The sequence below is a fragment of the Homo sapiens genome, chromosome 9 (assembly GCF_000001405.40).
Source record: "Homo sapiens chromosome 9, GRCh38.p14 Primary Assembly".
Lineage (NCBI taxonomy): Eukaryota > Metazoa > Chordata > Mammalia > Primates > Hominidae > Homo > Homo sapiens.
The window spans coordinates 15,898,156-15,914,184 of NC_000009.12; the positions used below are offsets into that span (position 1 = coordinate 15,898,156).

General features: G+C 39.1%; 1 protein-coding gene across 32 annotated transcripts in view; it reads left to right on the forward strand.

Annotated features, from left to right (window-relative positions):
• CCDC171 (coiled-coil domain containing 171) overlaps window positions 1-16,029 on the forward strand; it is a 556,042-nt gene that overhangs the window by 345,271 nt on the left and 194,742 nt on the right. The gene's annotated exons all lie outside the window — the stretch shown is intronic.

Here is a 16,029-nt window from a genome sequence, read left to right on the forward strand (position 1 = left end):
CTGGAACATGGGAACTACAGAGGAAGCTGGAAAACCTTTGAGCAAAGATTTGGTAAGAGCATAGGCTTTATTTACTTCCATACATTCTAACTTATTTGGCAATTCCTGATTGTAGAGTGTGGGGTTCACCTCCTTTGGGGCTTACATGGGTTTGCCTTTGAGTGGAGAATTGAGCTGAGTGCATATACCCCTCAGATTACATTGACTCTTTTGAGGCAACAGGCTGCAGAGGGTCTCAGAATAGCTGGTGTTGCTATCACAGTCAGTGAGCAAATATAGACTAGTATCTGATAATCTCTCATGTTGAGTGTGATGAGCAAAATGCTAGGTCGTTTTATTCAAGTATCTGCATAAGAAGTTATGTGCAGAAGACTGGTTGGTCTAGTCCATGCCTTTGCCCGCTAAATCAGTATCATTTAAACAAAATTTTAATGTTTTATTCTCTTCTTGTTTATTTGTTTCTAAAATAAATATAGACATGTCTATAAATTTGTATATCTTCCCTTTTAAATATTAGAATGCTATATATTTGCTTTTTTACCCTTTTATTTTGAAATAATTATAGATTCACAGAAAAGTACAAAAATAGCACAGGGAGGTCCCTGTGTACGCTTTATCCAGCTTTCCCCATTGTTATATCTTACATCAGTTTAGGAAAATGTCAAAACCAGAAAATTGGCATTAGTACAATGGGTAAATACAGTTTTGTGACATTTTTTCATGTGTATATTTGTATAGACACTACCACAATCAAGATACAGAAAGGTACCAACAAAATTCTCTCTCAAGTAACCAGTTTATGGACATATCACCCCCTGTCCTGCCATCATCCCTAACTCATAGCAGCCACTAAATAGTTTCCATTTCTATAAGTTTGTCATTTCAATAATGTAATATAAATGCAGTCATACAGAATGTGACTTTTTGAGTTGGCTTTTTCACTCAGTGTAATGCTCTTGAGATCCATCCAAGTTTTTGCATATATCAATAGTTTATTCCTTTATTTGTCAATATTGATTAATAGTTTATTGGTGACTTGTTTTCGTGGTATGGATGTATCACAGTTTGTTTAGCCATTCATTCACTGAAGGATATTTTGTTGTTTCTGGATTTCGGCTATTACATATAAAGTTGCATTGAACATTTTTATGCAAGTTTCTGTTTGGGCACAAGTTTTCATTTTTCTAGGATAAGTACTGAGGAATGTGATTGCCTAGCTATATGTAAGTTACATTTAATTTTTAAAAAACTGTCAAACTGTTTCCAGAATGACTGCCATTTTTTTCATTCTCACTATGAATCTTTAAGAGATCCAGTTTCTCTGCTTCCTCGCCAGCACTTGGTGTTATCCCACTTTTTTTCTGTTAGCCATTCTGATAGGTGTAGTGATATCTTACTATGGTTTTAAGTTTGCATTTCCCTAGTGCTTAGTGATTTTTGAAAATATCTTTATGTGCCTGTTTGCTATTTGTATATTCTCTTTTGATAAAATTTGCGATTTGTATATTCTCTTTCGTAAAATGTATCTTAGTGCCTTTTGCTCATTTTCTAATTGAATTGTCTTTTTACTGTTGAGTTTTGAGAGTTGTTTATATATTCTAGAAACTATCAGATGTGTGGTTTGCAAATATTTTTTCTCTGTCATTTACTCTTTGTGACAGAATTTTTTTTCATGGCAATAATTTTTAATGAATAGTTTCTGATGAAGTTCAGTTTATTGTTTTTTTCTTTCATTGATCACACTTTTGATTTTGTGTCTAAGAACTCTTTACCAAGCTCGAGATCCCAAAGATTTTTTCATATATTTTCTTCTAAAAGTTTCATAGCTTTATGTTTTATATTTAAATCTATGATCAATTTTGAGTTAGTTTTGGTATAAGGAGTGTTTCAGGCTGCAGTAATCAGAATTCTAAGATGACCCCTTTGTCCTTTCCCATGTTGTACATCTGCTATAAAATTAGTCTTCTCCCCTCGATGGTGGGTGATACCAGTAAATGTAATGGATACCACTCCTGTGATTAGGTTACTCATCAAAAGAGATTGTCCTGGATGGGCCTGACCTAATCAGGTGACTCCTTTCAAGAAGCCAAGGTGTCTGAGAGATGTTCTTCTGAGGGACTGGAGGAAAGCAAACAGCCATGTTGAAAGAGGGCGGTGGGGGCATTTGGCAAGGAGCTGAGTATGCCCTTTAGGGGCAGAGAGTGATCCTGGGTGACAGCCAGCAAGAAAATGGGGACTTCTTTTTCACAATGGCAAGTAAGTGAATTCTGCCAACTTGAATGAGCTTGCAAGAGGACTCTGCTTCTCAGGTGAGATCACAGCTCCAGATGATACCTTGATTTCAGCCTGCTGAGACACCCGAGCAGAGGACCCCACTAACCTATGCTGGACTCCTGGCCCATGGAAATTAAGAGATAATAAATTTGTGTTGTTCTAAGCCTTTAAGTTTCTGGTAATTTGTTATGCAGCATGCAATACAGATTTCAATACCCTAGAGTGAGGTGCTGCTTTTATGCTTCTTTGTAGATGTAGATTTTGATTATTGGAGCTTACATCTGGGTGTGAGGGAAAGAAGTAGGACATACATGCTGTGAGACACAGTGAATAGATAGACTGTCTTCTGGGTTTGGAAGCTTCCTTAGGCTCTGCTCTGCTTTCCTGATTCTAGGGTCCTTACTCATGGTTTTTGTTTCTGGGGACAAACCCAGCTGCTGCCACCCTGCACAGCCCTAAGTACGGGAAGAGTCAACTAGCTCAGTTGCTTCCAGTGTACATCTACAGTTAGTCACCTGATGCCACAGGGGAGTAGTCTCCAAACTTTTTCATAGCACACTCTTATTTTTAAGTCAGCTTCCCTAACATATATACATTCATTCCTTAATAACTTATATATGTGTTGTTATTAAATATGCTCCATAACATAGAAAAAGAAAATTTTAAAGGTATGATTTTTAAAGGTTTTAAGAGAAACATTAAAAAGTAATTATAAAAACTATTGAGAAAATGAAAAAGATCAGTGGTTGCCAGGAGTTAGAGGGGAGCGAGGGATGAATCTGCAGAACACAGGATTTTTAGAGCAGTGAGTCTATTTTGTGTGATACTAATAATAGTGAATACATGTCACTATACATTTGTAAAACCCATAGAATGTCCAACACCAATAGCCGTAATGTAAACTGTGGATTTTGGGTGATAGTGATGTGTCAGCATAGGTTCATTTTTGTTGCAATAAATGTACCACTTTGTAGGAGGGTATTGATATGAAAGAGGGTTTATGTGTATAGGGGCAGAGCATGTATGGGAACTCTCTGTACTTCATGCTCAACTTTTCTGTGAACCTAAAATTGCTCTAAAAATAGTCTATTTAAAAAGTAAATATACCATAAAATCTATCTGTGGACATCCTATAATTTTTTTTATTTTAACTCACTTTGTTGACTATAAATACATGCCATTAATTATACAAGATAATAAATTATACCTTATTTATAAAGTAAGAAATAACATATGTATTCTTTACTATAGTTTGGCACTGATGTCTTCACTTGGTCTATTTGTTAAACATTAATGTGTCCTGTAAGGTACGTTCAAGGAAGAGTGGAAGGCTTTTGCAATGTAGAGGGGCTGAAAGTGGCATCATTACTCATTTATTTACTTTTGTGTTTCAACATGAAAATATGTATGTAACTGTTAAGTGAATCTATATATTAAATTATTTTACATAGTACAGTCTTTATAATAGTTTATAATGAGATGAGAGACTTTAAAATCTTCTCTGTAAAGTTCACTGTTGTGACAGCATGCTTCAAAGTACTCTTGAACTTGTGTAAGAATTATGCAATTTTCTTTCAAAAAAGATGAGGGTTACAAATCTGTAGAACTTTTCTTTGATGGCAAGTGGCTAACAGAAACATTCTAGCTAGAAGATATTAAACACATACTCTGTCACTTCAAGGTAAAGTGACATTTGTAAAAAAATAAAAACTAACTGCTCTGAGTTTTGCAGAGAAAACATTGTAAAATAGTTGTTTGGAAATATTTCCAGAATTATGGACTTTTTTTCTCAAAATGATACAAAGCTATAAAATTCATATATATATATATATGTATATATATATATATATATACACACACACACACACATAAAAATTTCAGAAATGTAATTTTCTAGCCACAGTGTCTTTTGAACTTTTGTTACGAATGTAGAAAGTATTTAATATAAAAGGTTTTTGTTAAAGAATAATTGATTAATTCAGGGAAGTTGGAAATTTTCTAGGCAAAATTTAAATTACAACTTTTGTTTGATTGATAGGTAGTATTGAAACATGAATTCCCTGATTTAGTAAACACAACTGTATTAGGGCATTCTTGCATTGCTATAAAGAAATAACTGAGGTGGAGCCAAGATGGCTGAATAGGAACAGCTCCAGTCTACAGCTCCCAGCATGAGCAATGCAGAAGATAGGTGATTTCTGCATTTCCAACTGAGGTACCGGGTTCATCTCACTGGCGAGTGTTGGAAAGTGGGTGCAGGACAGTGGGTGCAGCGCACCGAGCATGAGCTGAAGCAGGGCAAGGCATCACCTCACCTGGGAAGCACAAGGGGTCAGGGAATTCCCTTTCCTAGTCAAAGAAAGGGGTGACGGACGGCACCTGGAAAATTGGGTCACTCCCACCCTAATACTGCACTTTTCCAACAGTCTTAGCAAATGGCACACCAGGAGATTATATCCTGTGCCTGGCTCAGAGGGTCCTACACCCACGGAGCCTCACTCATTGCAAGCACAGCAGTCTGAGATCAAACTGCAAGGCGGCAGCGAGCTGGGGGAGGGGCGCTCGCCATTGCCTAGGCTAGAGTAGGTAAACAAAGCAGCCGGGAAGCTCGAACTGGGTGGAGCCCACCGCAGCTCAAGGAAGCGTGCCTGCCTCTGTAGACTCCACCTCTGGGGGTTGAGCATTGCCAAACAAAAGGCAGCAGAATCCTCTGCAGACTTAAATGTCCCTGTCTGACAGCTTTGAAGAGAGTAGTGCTTCTCCCAGCACGGAGTTTGAGATCTGAGAACGGACAGACTGCCTCCTCAAGTGGGTCCCTGACCCCCGAGTAGCCTAACTGGGAGGCACCCCCCTAGTAGGGGCAGACTGACACCTCACATGGCCGGGTACTCCTCTGAGACAAAACTTCCAGAGGAATGATCAGGCGGCAACCTTTGCTGTTCACCAATATCCGCTGTTCTGCAGCCTCCACTGCTGATACCCAGGCAAACAGGATCTGGAGTAGACCTCCAGCAAACTCCAACAGACCTTCAGCTGAGGGTCCTGACTGTTAGAAGGAAAACTAACAGAAAGGACATCCACACCAAAACCCCATCTGTACGTCACCATCATCAAAGACCAAAGGTAGATAAAACCACAAAGATGGCGAAAAACAGAGCAGAAAAACTGGAAACTCTAAAAATCAGAGTGCCTCTCCTCCTCCAAAGGAACTCGGCTCCTCACCAGCAACGGAAGAAAGCTGGATGGAGAATGACTTTGACAAGTTGAGAGAAGAAGGCTTCAGACGATCAAACTACTCCGAGCTAAAGGAGGAAGTTCGAACCCATGGCAAAGAAGTTAAAAACCTTGACAAAAGATTAGACGAATGCTAACTAGAATAACCAATGCAGAGGAGTCCTTAATGGACCTTATGGAGCTGAAAACCATGGCACGAGAGGTACGTGACGAATGCATAAGCCTCAGTAGCCGATTTGATCAACTGGAAGAAAGGGTATCAGTGATGGAAGATCAAATGAATGAAATGAAGTGAGAAGAGAAGTTTAGAGAAAACAGAATGAAAAGAAACAAACAAAGCCTCCAAGAAATATGGGACTATGTGAAAAGACCAAATCTACATCTGATTGGTGTACCTGAAAGTGACGGGCAGAATGGAACCAAGTTGGAAAACACTCTTCAGGATATTATACAGGAGAACCTCCCCAATCTAGCAAGACAGGCCAACATTCAAATTCAGGAAATATAGAGAATGCCACAAAGATACTCCTCGAGAAGAGCAACTCCAAGACACATAATTGTCAGATTCACCAAAGTTGAAATGAAGGAAAAAATGTTAAGGGCAGCCAGAGAGAAAGGTCGGGTTGCCCACAAAGGGAAGCCCATCAGACTAACAGTGGATCTCTCGGCAGAAACTCTACAAGCCAGAAGACAGTGGGGGCTAATATTCAACATTCTTAAAAGAATTTTCAACCCAGAATTTCTTATCCAGCCAAACTAAGCTTCATAAGTGAAGGAGAAATAAAATCCTTTACACACAAGCAAATGCTGAGAGATTTTGTCACCACCAGGCCTGCCCTAAAAGAGCTCCTGAAGGAAGCACTAAACATGGAAAGGGACAACCAGTACCAGCCACTGCAAAAACATGCCAAATTGTAAAGACCATCGAGGCTAGGAAAAACTGCATCAACTAACGAGCAAAATAACCAGCTAACATCATAATGTCAGGATCAAATTCACACATAACAATATTAACCTTAAATGTAAATGGGCTAAATGCTCCAATTAAAAGACACAGACTGGCAAATTGGATAAAGAGTCAAGACCCATCAGTGTGCTGTATTCAGGAAAGCCATCTCACGTGCAGAGACACACATAGGCTCAAAATAAAAGGATGGAGGAAGATCTACCAAGCAAATGGAAAACAAAAAAAGGCAGGGGTTGCAATCCTAGTCTCTGATAAAACAGACTTTAAACCAACAAAGATCAAAAGAGACAAAGAAGGCCATTACATAATGGTAAAGGGATCAATTCAACAAGAAGAGCTAACTATCCTAAATATATATGCACCCAATACAGGAGCACTCAGATTCATAAAGCAAGTCCTTAGAGACCTACAAAGAGACTTAGACTCCCACACAATAATAATGGGAGACTTTAACACCCCACTGTCAACATTAGACAGATCAACGAGACAGAAAGTTAACAAAGATATCCAGGAATTGAACTCAGCTCTGCACCAAGCAGACCTAATAGACATCTACAGAACTCTCCACCCCAAATCAACAGAATATACATTCTTCTCAGCACCACACTGCACTTATTCCAAAATTGACCACATAGTTGGAAGTAAAGCACTCCTCAGCAAATATAAAAGAACGGAAATTATAACAAACTTTCTCTCAGACCACAGTGCAATCAAACTAGAACTCGGGATTCAGAAGCTCACTCACAACCGCTCAACTACATGGAAACTGAACAACCTGCTCCTGAATGACTACTGGGTACATAATGAAATGAGGGCAGAAATAAAGATGTTCTTTGAAACCAACGAGAACAAAGACACAACATACCAGAATCTCTGGGACACATTCAAAGCAGTGTGTAGAGGGAAGTTTATAGCATTAAATGCCCACAAGAGAAAGCAGGAAAGATCTAAAATTGACATCCTAACATCACAATTAAAAGAACTAGAGAAGCAAGAGCAAACACATTCAAAAGCTAGCAGAAGGCAAGAAAAAACTAAGATCAGAGCAGAAGTGAAGGAGATAGAGACACAAAAAACCCTTCAAAAAATCAATGAATCCAGGAGCTGGTTTTTTGAAAAGATCAACCAGATTGATAGACTGCTAGCAAGACTAATAAAGAAGAAAAGAGAGAAGAATCAAACAGACACAATAAAAAATGATAAAGGGGATATCACCACCAATCCCAAAGAAATACAAACTGCCATCAGAGAATACTATGAACACCTCTACGCAAATAAACTAGAAAATCTAGAAGAAATGGATGAATTCCTGGACACATACACCCTCCCAAGACTAAACCAGGAAGAAGCTGAATCTCTGAATAGACCAATAACAGGCTCTGAAATTGAGGCAATAATTATTAGCTTACCAACCAAAAAAAATCCAGGACCAGATGGATTCACAGCCGAATTCTACCAGAGGTACAAGGAGGAGCTGTTACCATTCCTTCTGAAACTATTCCAATCAATAGAAAAAGAGGGAATCCTCCCTAACTCATTTTATGAGGCCAGCATCATCCTGATACCAAAGCCTGGCAGAGACACAACCCAAAAAGAGAATTTTAGACCAATGTCCTTGATGAACATCGATGCAAAAATCCTCAATAAAATACTGGCAAACCAAATCCAGCAGCACATCAAAAAGCTTATCCACCATGATCAAGTGGGCTTCATCCCTGGGATGCAAAGCTGGTTCAACATACGAAAATCAATAAACGTAATCCAGCATATAAAAGAACCAACAACAAAATCCATATGATTATCTCAATAGATGCAGAAAAGGCCTTTGACAAAATTGGACAACGCTTCATGCTAAAAACTCTCAATAAGTTAGGTATTGATGGGACTTATCTCAACATAATAAGAGCTATCTATGACAAACCCACAGCCAATATCATACTGAATGGGCAAAAACTGGAAGCATTCCCTCTGAAAACTGGCCCAAGACAGGGATGCCCTCTCTCACCACTCCTATTCAACATAGTGTTGGAAGTTCTGGCCAGGGCAATCAGGCAGGAGAAGGAAATAAAGGGTATTCAATGAGGAAAAGAGGAAGTCAAATTGTCCCTGTTTGCAGACGACATGATTGTATATCTAGAAAACCCCATCGTCTCAGCCCAAAATCTCCTTAAGCTGATAAGCGACTTCAGCAAAGTCTCTGGATACAAAATCAATGTGCAAAAATCACAAGCATTCTTATACACCAATAACAGACAAGCAGACATCCAAATCATGAGTGAACTCCCATTCACAATTGCTTCAAAGAGAATAAAATACCTAGGATGTGAAGGACCTCTTCAAGGAGAACTACAAACCACTGCTCAATGAAATAAAAGAGGATACAAGCAAATGGAAGAACATTCCATGCTCATGGGTAGGAAGAATCAATATCGTGAAAATGGCCATACTTTCCAAGGTAATTTAGAGATTCAATGCCATCCCCATCAAGCTACCAATGACTTTCTTCACAGAATTGGAAAAAACCTACTTTAAAGTTCATATGGAACCAAAAAAGAGCCCACATTGCCAAGTCAATCCCAAGCCAAAAGAACAAAGCTGGAGACATCATGCTACCTGACTTCAAACTATACTACAAGGCTACAGTAACCAAAACAGCATGGTACTGATACCAAAACAGATATATAGACCAATGGAACAGAACAGAGCCCTCAGAAATAATGCTGCATATCTACAACCATCTGATCTTTGACAAACCTGACAAAAACAAGAAATGGGGAAACGATTCCCTATTTAATAAATGGTGCTTGGAAAACTGGCTAGCCATATGTAGAAAGCTGAAGCTGGATCCCTTCCTTACACCTCATACAAAAATTAATTCAAGATGGATTAAAGACTTAAATGTTAGATTTAAAACCATAAAAACCCTAGAAGAAAACCTAGGCATTACCATTCAGGACATAGGCATGGGCAAGGACTTCATGTCTAAAACACCAAAAGCAATGGCAACAAAAGCCAAAATTGACAGATGGGATCTAATTAAACTGAAGAGCTTCTGCACAGCAAAAGAAACTACCATCAGAGTGAACAGGCAACCTACAGAATGGGAGAAAATTTTCGCAATCTAGTCATCTGACAAAGGGCTAATATCCAGAATCTACCATGAACTCCAACAAATTTATAAGAAAAAAACAACCCCATCAAAAAGTGGGCAAAGGATATGAACAGACACTTCTCAAAAGGAGACACTTATGCAGCCAACAGACACATGAAAAAATGCTCATCATCACTGGCCATCAGAGAAATGCAAATCAAAACCACAATGAGATACCATCTCACACCATTTAGAATGGCAATCATTAAAAAGTCAGGAAACAACAGGTGCTGGAGAGGATGTGGAGAAATAGGAACACTTTTACACTGTTGGTGGGACTGTAAACTAGTTCAACCATTGTGGAAGTCAATGTGGCGATTCCTCAGGGATCTAGAACTAGAAATACCATTTGACCCAGCCATCCCATTACTGGGTATATACCCAAAGGACTATAAATCATGCTGCTATAAAGACACATGCACACGTATGTTTATTGTGGCACTATTCACGATAGCAAAGACTTGGAACTAACCCAAATGTCCAACCATGATAGACTGGATTAAGAAAATGTGGCACATATACACCATGGAATACTATGCAGCCATAAAAAATGATGAGTTCATGTCCTTTGTAGGGACATGGATGTAGCTGGAAACCATCATTCTCAGCCAACTATCACAAGGAGAAAAAACAAAACACTGCATGTTCTCACTCATAGGTGGGAATTGAACAATGAGAACACATGGACACAGGAAGGGGAACATCACACACTGGGGCCTGTTGTCGGGTGGGGGGAGGTGGGAGGGATAGCATTTGGAGATATACCTAATGTTAAATGATTAGTTACTGGGTGCAGCACACCTACATGGCACATGTATACATATGAACTAACCTGCACGTTGTGCACCTGTACCCTAAAAGTTAAAGTATAAAAAAAAAGAGAAATATCTGAGACTGGATAATTTATAAAGAAAAGAAATTTAATTGACTGATGGTTCTGTAGGCTTCTAGGGAAGCTTCAGGAAGCTTAAGATTCTGGCAGAAGGTGAATGGGGAGCAGGCACGTCAGTAGGCAAAAGTAGGAGCAAGTGATGTGTTGGGGAGAGGGAGGTGCCACATGGTTTTAAAGCACCAAGCCATGAGGGATCTCCGCTCATGATCCAAATACCTCCCACCAGGTCCCGCTTCCAGCACTGGGGATTACAATTCAACATGAGACTTGGGTGGGGACATACATGCAAACTATATCAACAACCAACTGTGCACTTCTTCCATTTGCATTACCTGTTTAACCATGTATCATGGGTGATGGGCATGGGGAATCAGAAGTACGACTCCAATTGAGTATATCACAGAGTTATATAAGTCTTTAAAAATAATAAAGCTTATCCAATCATATTTCTTTCACTATGTAACAACTTTTTGTTGAGAGTAAATGTTTTAGGGCTATTAATAAAGCAAGGCTAAGGCCTTCTACCCCGTCTCCTACCTGTTTATGCTGAGCTTCAAGCCTAACTGTAGTTGGTGTTACCATTGTAGAAGTATTCTCTTATTTTAAATAGGGTTTCTCTAAAATTTTGTTTGTGATCCTTTCTACTTTCTATTCCTTATTGCTTAATCAGGATTCTTCTCAGCTGATAGCATTTTTAGCAGCTTTTATGCATTCATGTACATGTGCGTACACACACACACACACACACACGTGCACATAATTCCACTGGCAAAGCGAGAAGGTGGTTGGCAGTCTGACATCCTGATATAGTCCTTCTTACACAACTTTTTACTGGAATGGAATGTCCTGGCGAAACAAGTATTTGTGGGCAGGACCAGAAACCAAACATCAAACTAGAGTACAATTCCACATCTTTGATGGGGATTTTATTGGAGTCACAGTTGCTGTTTGCGTGCTATTAGTAATAGGCCGTCTGTATCTCATTCCCTCCTATATCCTTAAAATTTGTAAAATATTATTAAAATATTGGAATGAAAGTAAGTCTAATAAATGAGCAACCATATCAGAGTAACTTTTTGATAATGAAGAAAATAATGAAATTTCCTTTAATTCCTGGTGCCAATGAAGACACATTTTTTTCTAATGGTGGTCTTTTTATTTTTATTTTTACATATTTAGGAGGTACAAATGCAGATTTCTTACTTGCATATATTGCATAGTGGTGAAGTCTGCTCTTTTAGTATATCCATTATGTGAGTAGTGAACATCATATCCTGACCACCCTCTCACCTTTTGTAATCTCCAATATCTGTTATTCCACTCTGTACTTCCATGTGTAGCCATTGTTTAGCTCCCACTTATAAGTGAGAACATGCAGTATTTGACTTTCTGTCTCTGAGTTATTTCACTTATAATGGCCTTAATTATATCCATGTGGCTGCATAAGACATGAGTTTCCTTTTTTTAATGCCTGTGTTGTATTCCATGGTATATATGTGCACACACACACACACACACACACACACACCATATTTTCTTTATCCAATCATCTGTTGACGGACAGTTAGGTTGACTTCATATCTTTGTTATTATGGATAGTGCTACAACAGACATATGAATGCATCTGTTTTTTTGTTATAACAATAGGGTATAATTTCCCCAGTGTATATTTTTATTGACTTTGTCAAAGATCAGTTGGCTGTAGGTATGTGGCTTTATTCCTCGCTTCTCCATTCTGTTCCATTGATCTGTATGTCTGTTTTGTGCTAGTACCATGCTATTTTGCTTACGATAGCCTTGTAGTATAATTTGAAGTTAGGTTATGTGATGTCTCTAGCTTTGTTCTTTTTGCTTAGGATTGCTTTGGCTATTAGGGCTCTTTTTTTAATATACTTTAAGTTCTGGGATACATGTGCAGAATGTGCAGGTTTGTTACATAGGTATACCTGTGCCATGTTGGTTTGCTACACCCATCAACTCATCACCTACATTAGGTATTTCTCCTAATGCTATCCCTCCCCTAGCCCCCCACCCCACAACAGGCCCCGGTGTGTGATGTTCCCCTCCCTGTGCCCATATGTTCTCATTATTCAACTCCCACTTATGAGTGAGAAAGTGGGGTGTTTGGTTTTCTGTCCTTGTGATAGTTTGTTGAGAATGATGGTTTCCAGCTTCATCCATGTCCCTGCAGAGGACATGAAATCATTCTTTTTTATGGCTGCATAGTATTCCATGGTGTATATGTGCCACATTTTCTTTATCCAGTCTTCATTGATGGACATTTGGGTTGGTTCCGAGTCTTTGCTATTGTGAACAGTGCTGCAGTAAACATATGTGTGCGTGTGTCTTTATAGTAGCATGATTTATAATCCTTTGGGTATATACCCAGTAATGGGATGGCTGGGTCAAATGGTATTTCTAGTTCTAGATCCTTGAGGAATCACCAGACTGTCTTCCACAATGGTTAAACTAATTTACACCCCCACCAATGGTGTAAAAGTGTTCCTATTTCTTCACATCCTCTCCAGCATGTGTTGTTTCCTGACTTTTTAATGACAGCCATTCCAACTGGCGTGAGATGGTATCTCATTGTGGTTTTGATTTGCCTTTCTCTAATGACCAGTGATGATGAGCTTTTTTTCATATGTTTGTTGGCCATATAAATGTCTTCTTATGAAAAGTGTCTGCTCATATCCTTTGCTCACTTTTTGATGGGGTTGTTTGTTTCTTTCTTGTAAATTTGTTTAAGTCCCTTGTAGATTCTGGATATTAGCCCTTTGTCAGATGGATAGATTGCAGTAATTTTCTCCTATTCTGTAGGTTGCCTGTTCACTCTGATGATAGTTTCTTTTGGTGTGCAGAAGCTCTTTAGTTTAATTAGACCCCATTTGTCAATTCTGGCTTTTGTTGCCGTTGCTTTTGGTGTTTTAGTCATGAAGTCTTTGCCCATGCCTATGTCCTGAATGGTATTGCCTAGGTTCTCTTGTTGGATTTTTATGGTTTTAGGTCTTACATTTAAATCTTTAATCCACCTTGAGTTAATTTTTGTATAAGGTGTAAGGAAGGGGGTCCAGTTTCAGTTTTCTGCATATGGCTAGCCAGTTTTCCCAACACCATTTATTAAATAGGGAATCCTTTCCCCATTTCTTGTTTTTGTCAGGTTTGTCAAAGATCAGATGGTTGTAGATGTGTGGTGTTATTTCTGAGGCCTCTGTTCTGTTGCATTGGTCTACATACCTGTTTTGGTACCAGTACCATGCCGTTTTGGTTACTGTAGCCTTGTGGTATAGTTTGAAGTCAGGTCGTGTGATCCCTCCAGCTTTGTTCTTTTTGCTTCAGATTGTCTTGGCTGTACAGGCTCTCTTTTTGTTCCATATGAAATTTAAAGTAGTGTTTTTCTAACTCTGTGAAGGAAGCCAATGGTGGCTTGATGGCAATGGCATTGAATGTATAAATTACTTTGGGCAGTATAGCCATTTTCATGGTATTGATTCTTCCTATTCATGAGCATGGAATGTTTTTCCATCTGTTTGTGTCCTTTCTTATTTCCTTGAGCGGTGGTTTGTAGTTCTCCTTGAAGAGGTCCTTCACATCCTTGTACCTTATATTCTTAGGTATTTTATTCTCTTTGTAGCAGTTGTGAATGGGAGTTTGCTCATTATTTGGCTCTCTGTTTGTCTATTATTGGTGTATAGGAATTCTTGTGATTTTTGCACATTGTTTTTGTATCCAGAGACTTTGCTAAAGTTGCTTATCAGCTTAAGGAGTTTTGGGACTGAGACGATGGGGTTTTTTTAATATACAGTCATGTCATCTGCAAACAGAGGTAATTGACTTCTTCTCTTCCTATTTGAATACCCTTTATTTCTTTCTCTTGCCTGATTGCCTTGGCCACAATTTCCAATAAATAGGAGGGGTGAGAGGGCATCCTTGTCTTGTGCTAGTTTTCAAAGGGAATGCTTCCGGTTTTTGCCCATTCAGTATGATATTGGCTGTGCGTTTGTCATAAATAGCTCTTATTATTTTGAGATATGTTCCATCAGTACCTAGTTTATTGAGTGTTTTTAGCATGAAAGGGTGTTTAATTTTATTGAAGGCCTTTTCTGCATCTATTGAGATAATCATGTGGTTTTTGTCATTGGTTTTGTTTATGTGATGGATTACATTTATTGATTTGCATATGATGAACCAGCCTTGCATCCCAAGGATGAAGCCAACTGGATCATGGTGGATAAGCTTTTTGATGTGCTGCTGGATTCGGTTTGCCAGTATTTTATTGAGGATTTTCACGTTGATATTCATCAGGGATATTGGCTTGAAATTTTCTTTTTTTGTTGTGTCTCTGCCAGGTTTTGCTATCAGGATGTTGCTGGCCTCATAAAATGAGTTAGGGAGGAGTTCCTCTTTTTCTCTTGTTTGGAATAGTTTCAGAAGGAATGGTCCAGCTCCTTTTTGTACTTCTGATAGAATTCCACTGTGAATCCGTTTGGTCCTGGGCTTTTTTGGTTGGTAATTACTGCCTCAATTTCAGAACTTGTTATTGGTCTATTCAGGGATTCGACTTCTTCCTGGTTTAGTCTTGGGTGGGTATATGTGTCCAGGAATTTATCCATGTCATCTAGATCTTCTAGTTTATTTGCATAGGGGTATTTATAGTATTCTCTGATGGTAGTTTGTATTTCTGTGGGAGCAGTGGTGATCTCCCCTTTATGATTTGTTATTGTGTCTATTTGATTCTTGTCTCTTTTCTTCTTTATTTGTTTGGCTGGCAGCGTATATATTTTGTTAATCTTTACAAAAAAACAGCTCCTGGATTCATTGAGTTTTTGAAGAGTTTTTTGTGTCTCTATCTCCTTCAGTTCTGCCGTGATTTTACTTATTTCTTGTCTTAGCTTCCTTGTGTTGGGTTAGAACATGCTCCTTTAGCTCAGAGGAGTTTGTTATTACCTACCTTCTGAAGCCCAATTCTGTCCATTTGTCAAATTCATTTTCCATCCAGTTTTGTTTCCTTGCTGGCGAGGAGTTGTGATCATTTGGAGAAGAGGGATTCTGGTTTTTGGAATTTTCAGCCTTTTTGAGCTGGTTTTTCCTCATCTTAGTGGATTTGTCTACCTTTTGTTTTTGCTGTCGGTGACCTTCGGATGGAGTTTTTGCATGCTTGTTCTTTTTGTTGATTTTGATACTGTTGCTTTCTGTTTGTTAGTTTTCCTTCTAACAGTCAGGTCCCTCTTCTGCAGGTCTCCTGGAGTTTGCTGGGATTCCACTCCAGACCCTGTTTGCCTAGGTATCACCAACAGAGGCTGCAGAACAGCAAAGATTGCTGCCTGCTCCTTCCTCTGGAAGCTTCGTCCCAGAGGGACACCTGCCAGATACCAGCCGGAGCGCTTGTATATGAGGCGTCTGTCAACCCCTGCTGGGAGTTGTCTCCCTGTCAGGATGCATGGGGGTCAGGGACCCCCTTGAGGAGGCAGTCTGTCCCTTAGCAGAGCTCGAGTGCTGTGCTGGGAGATC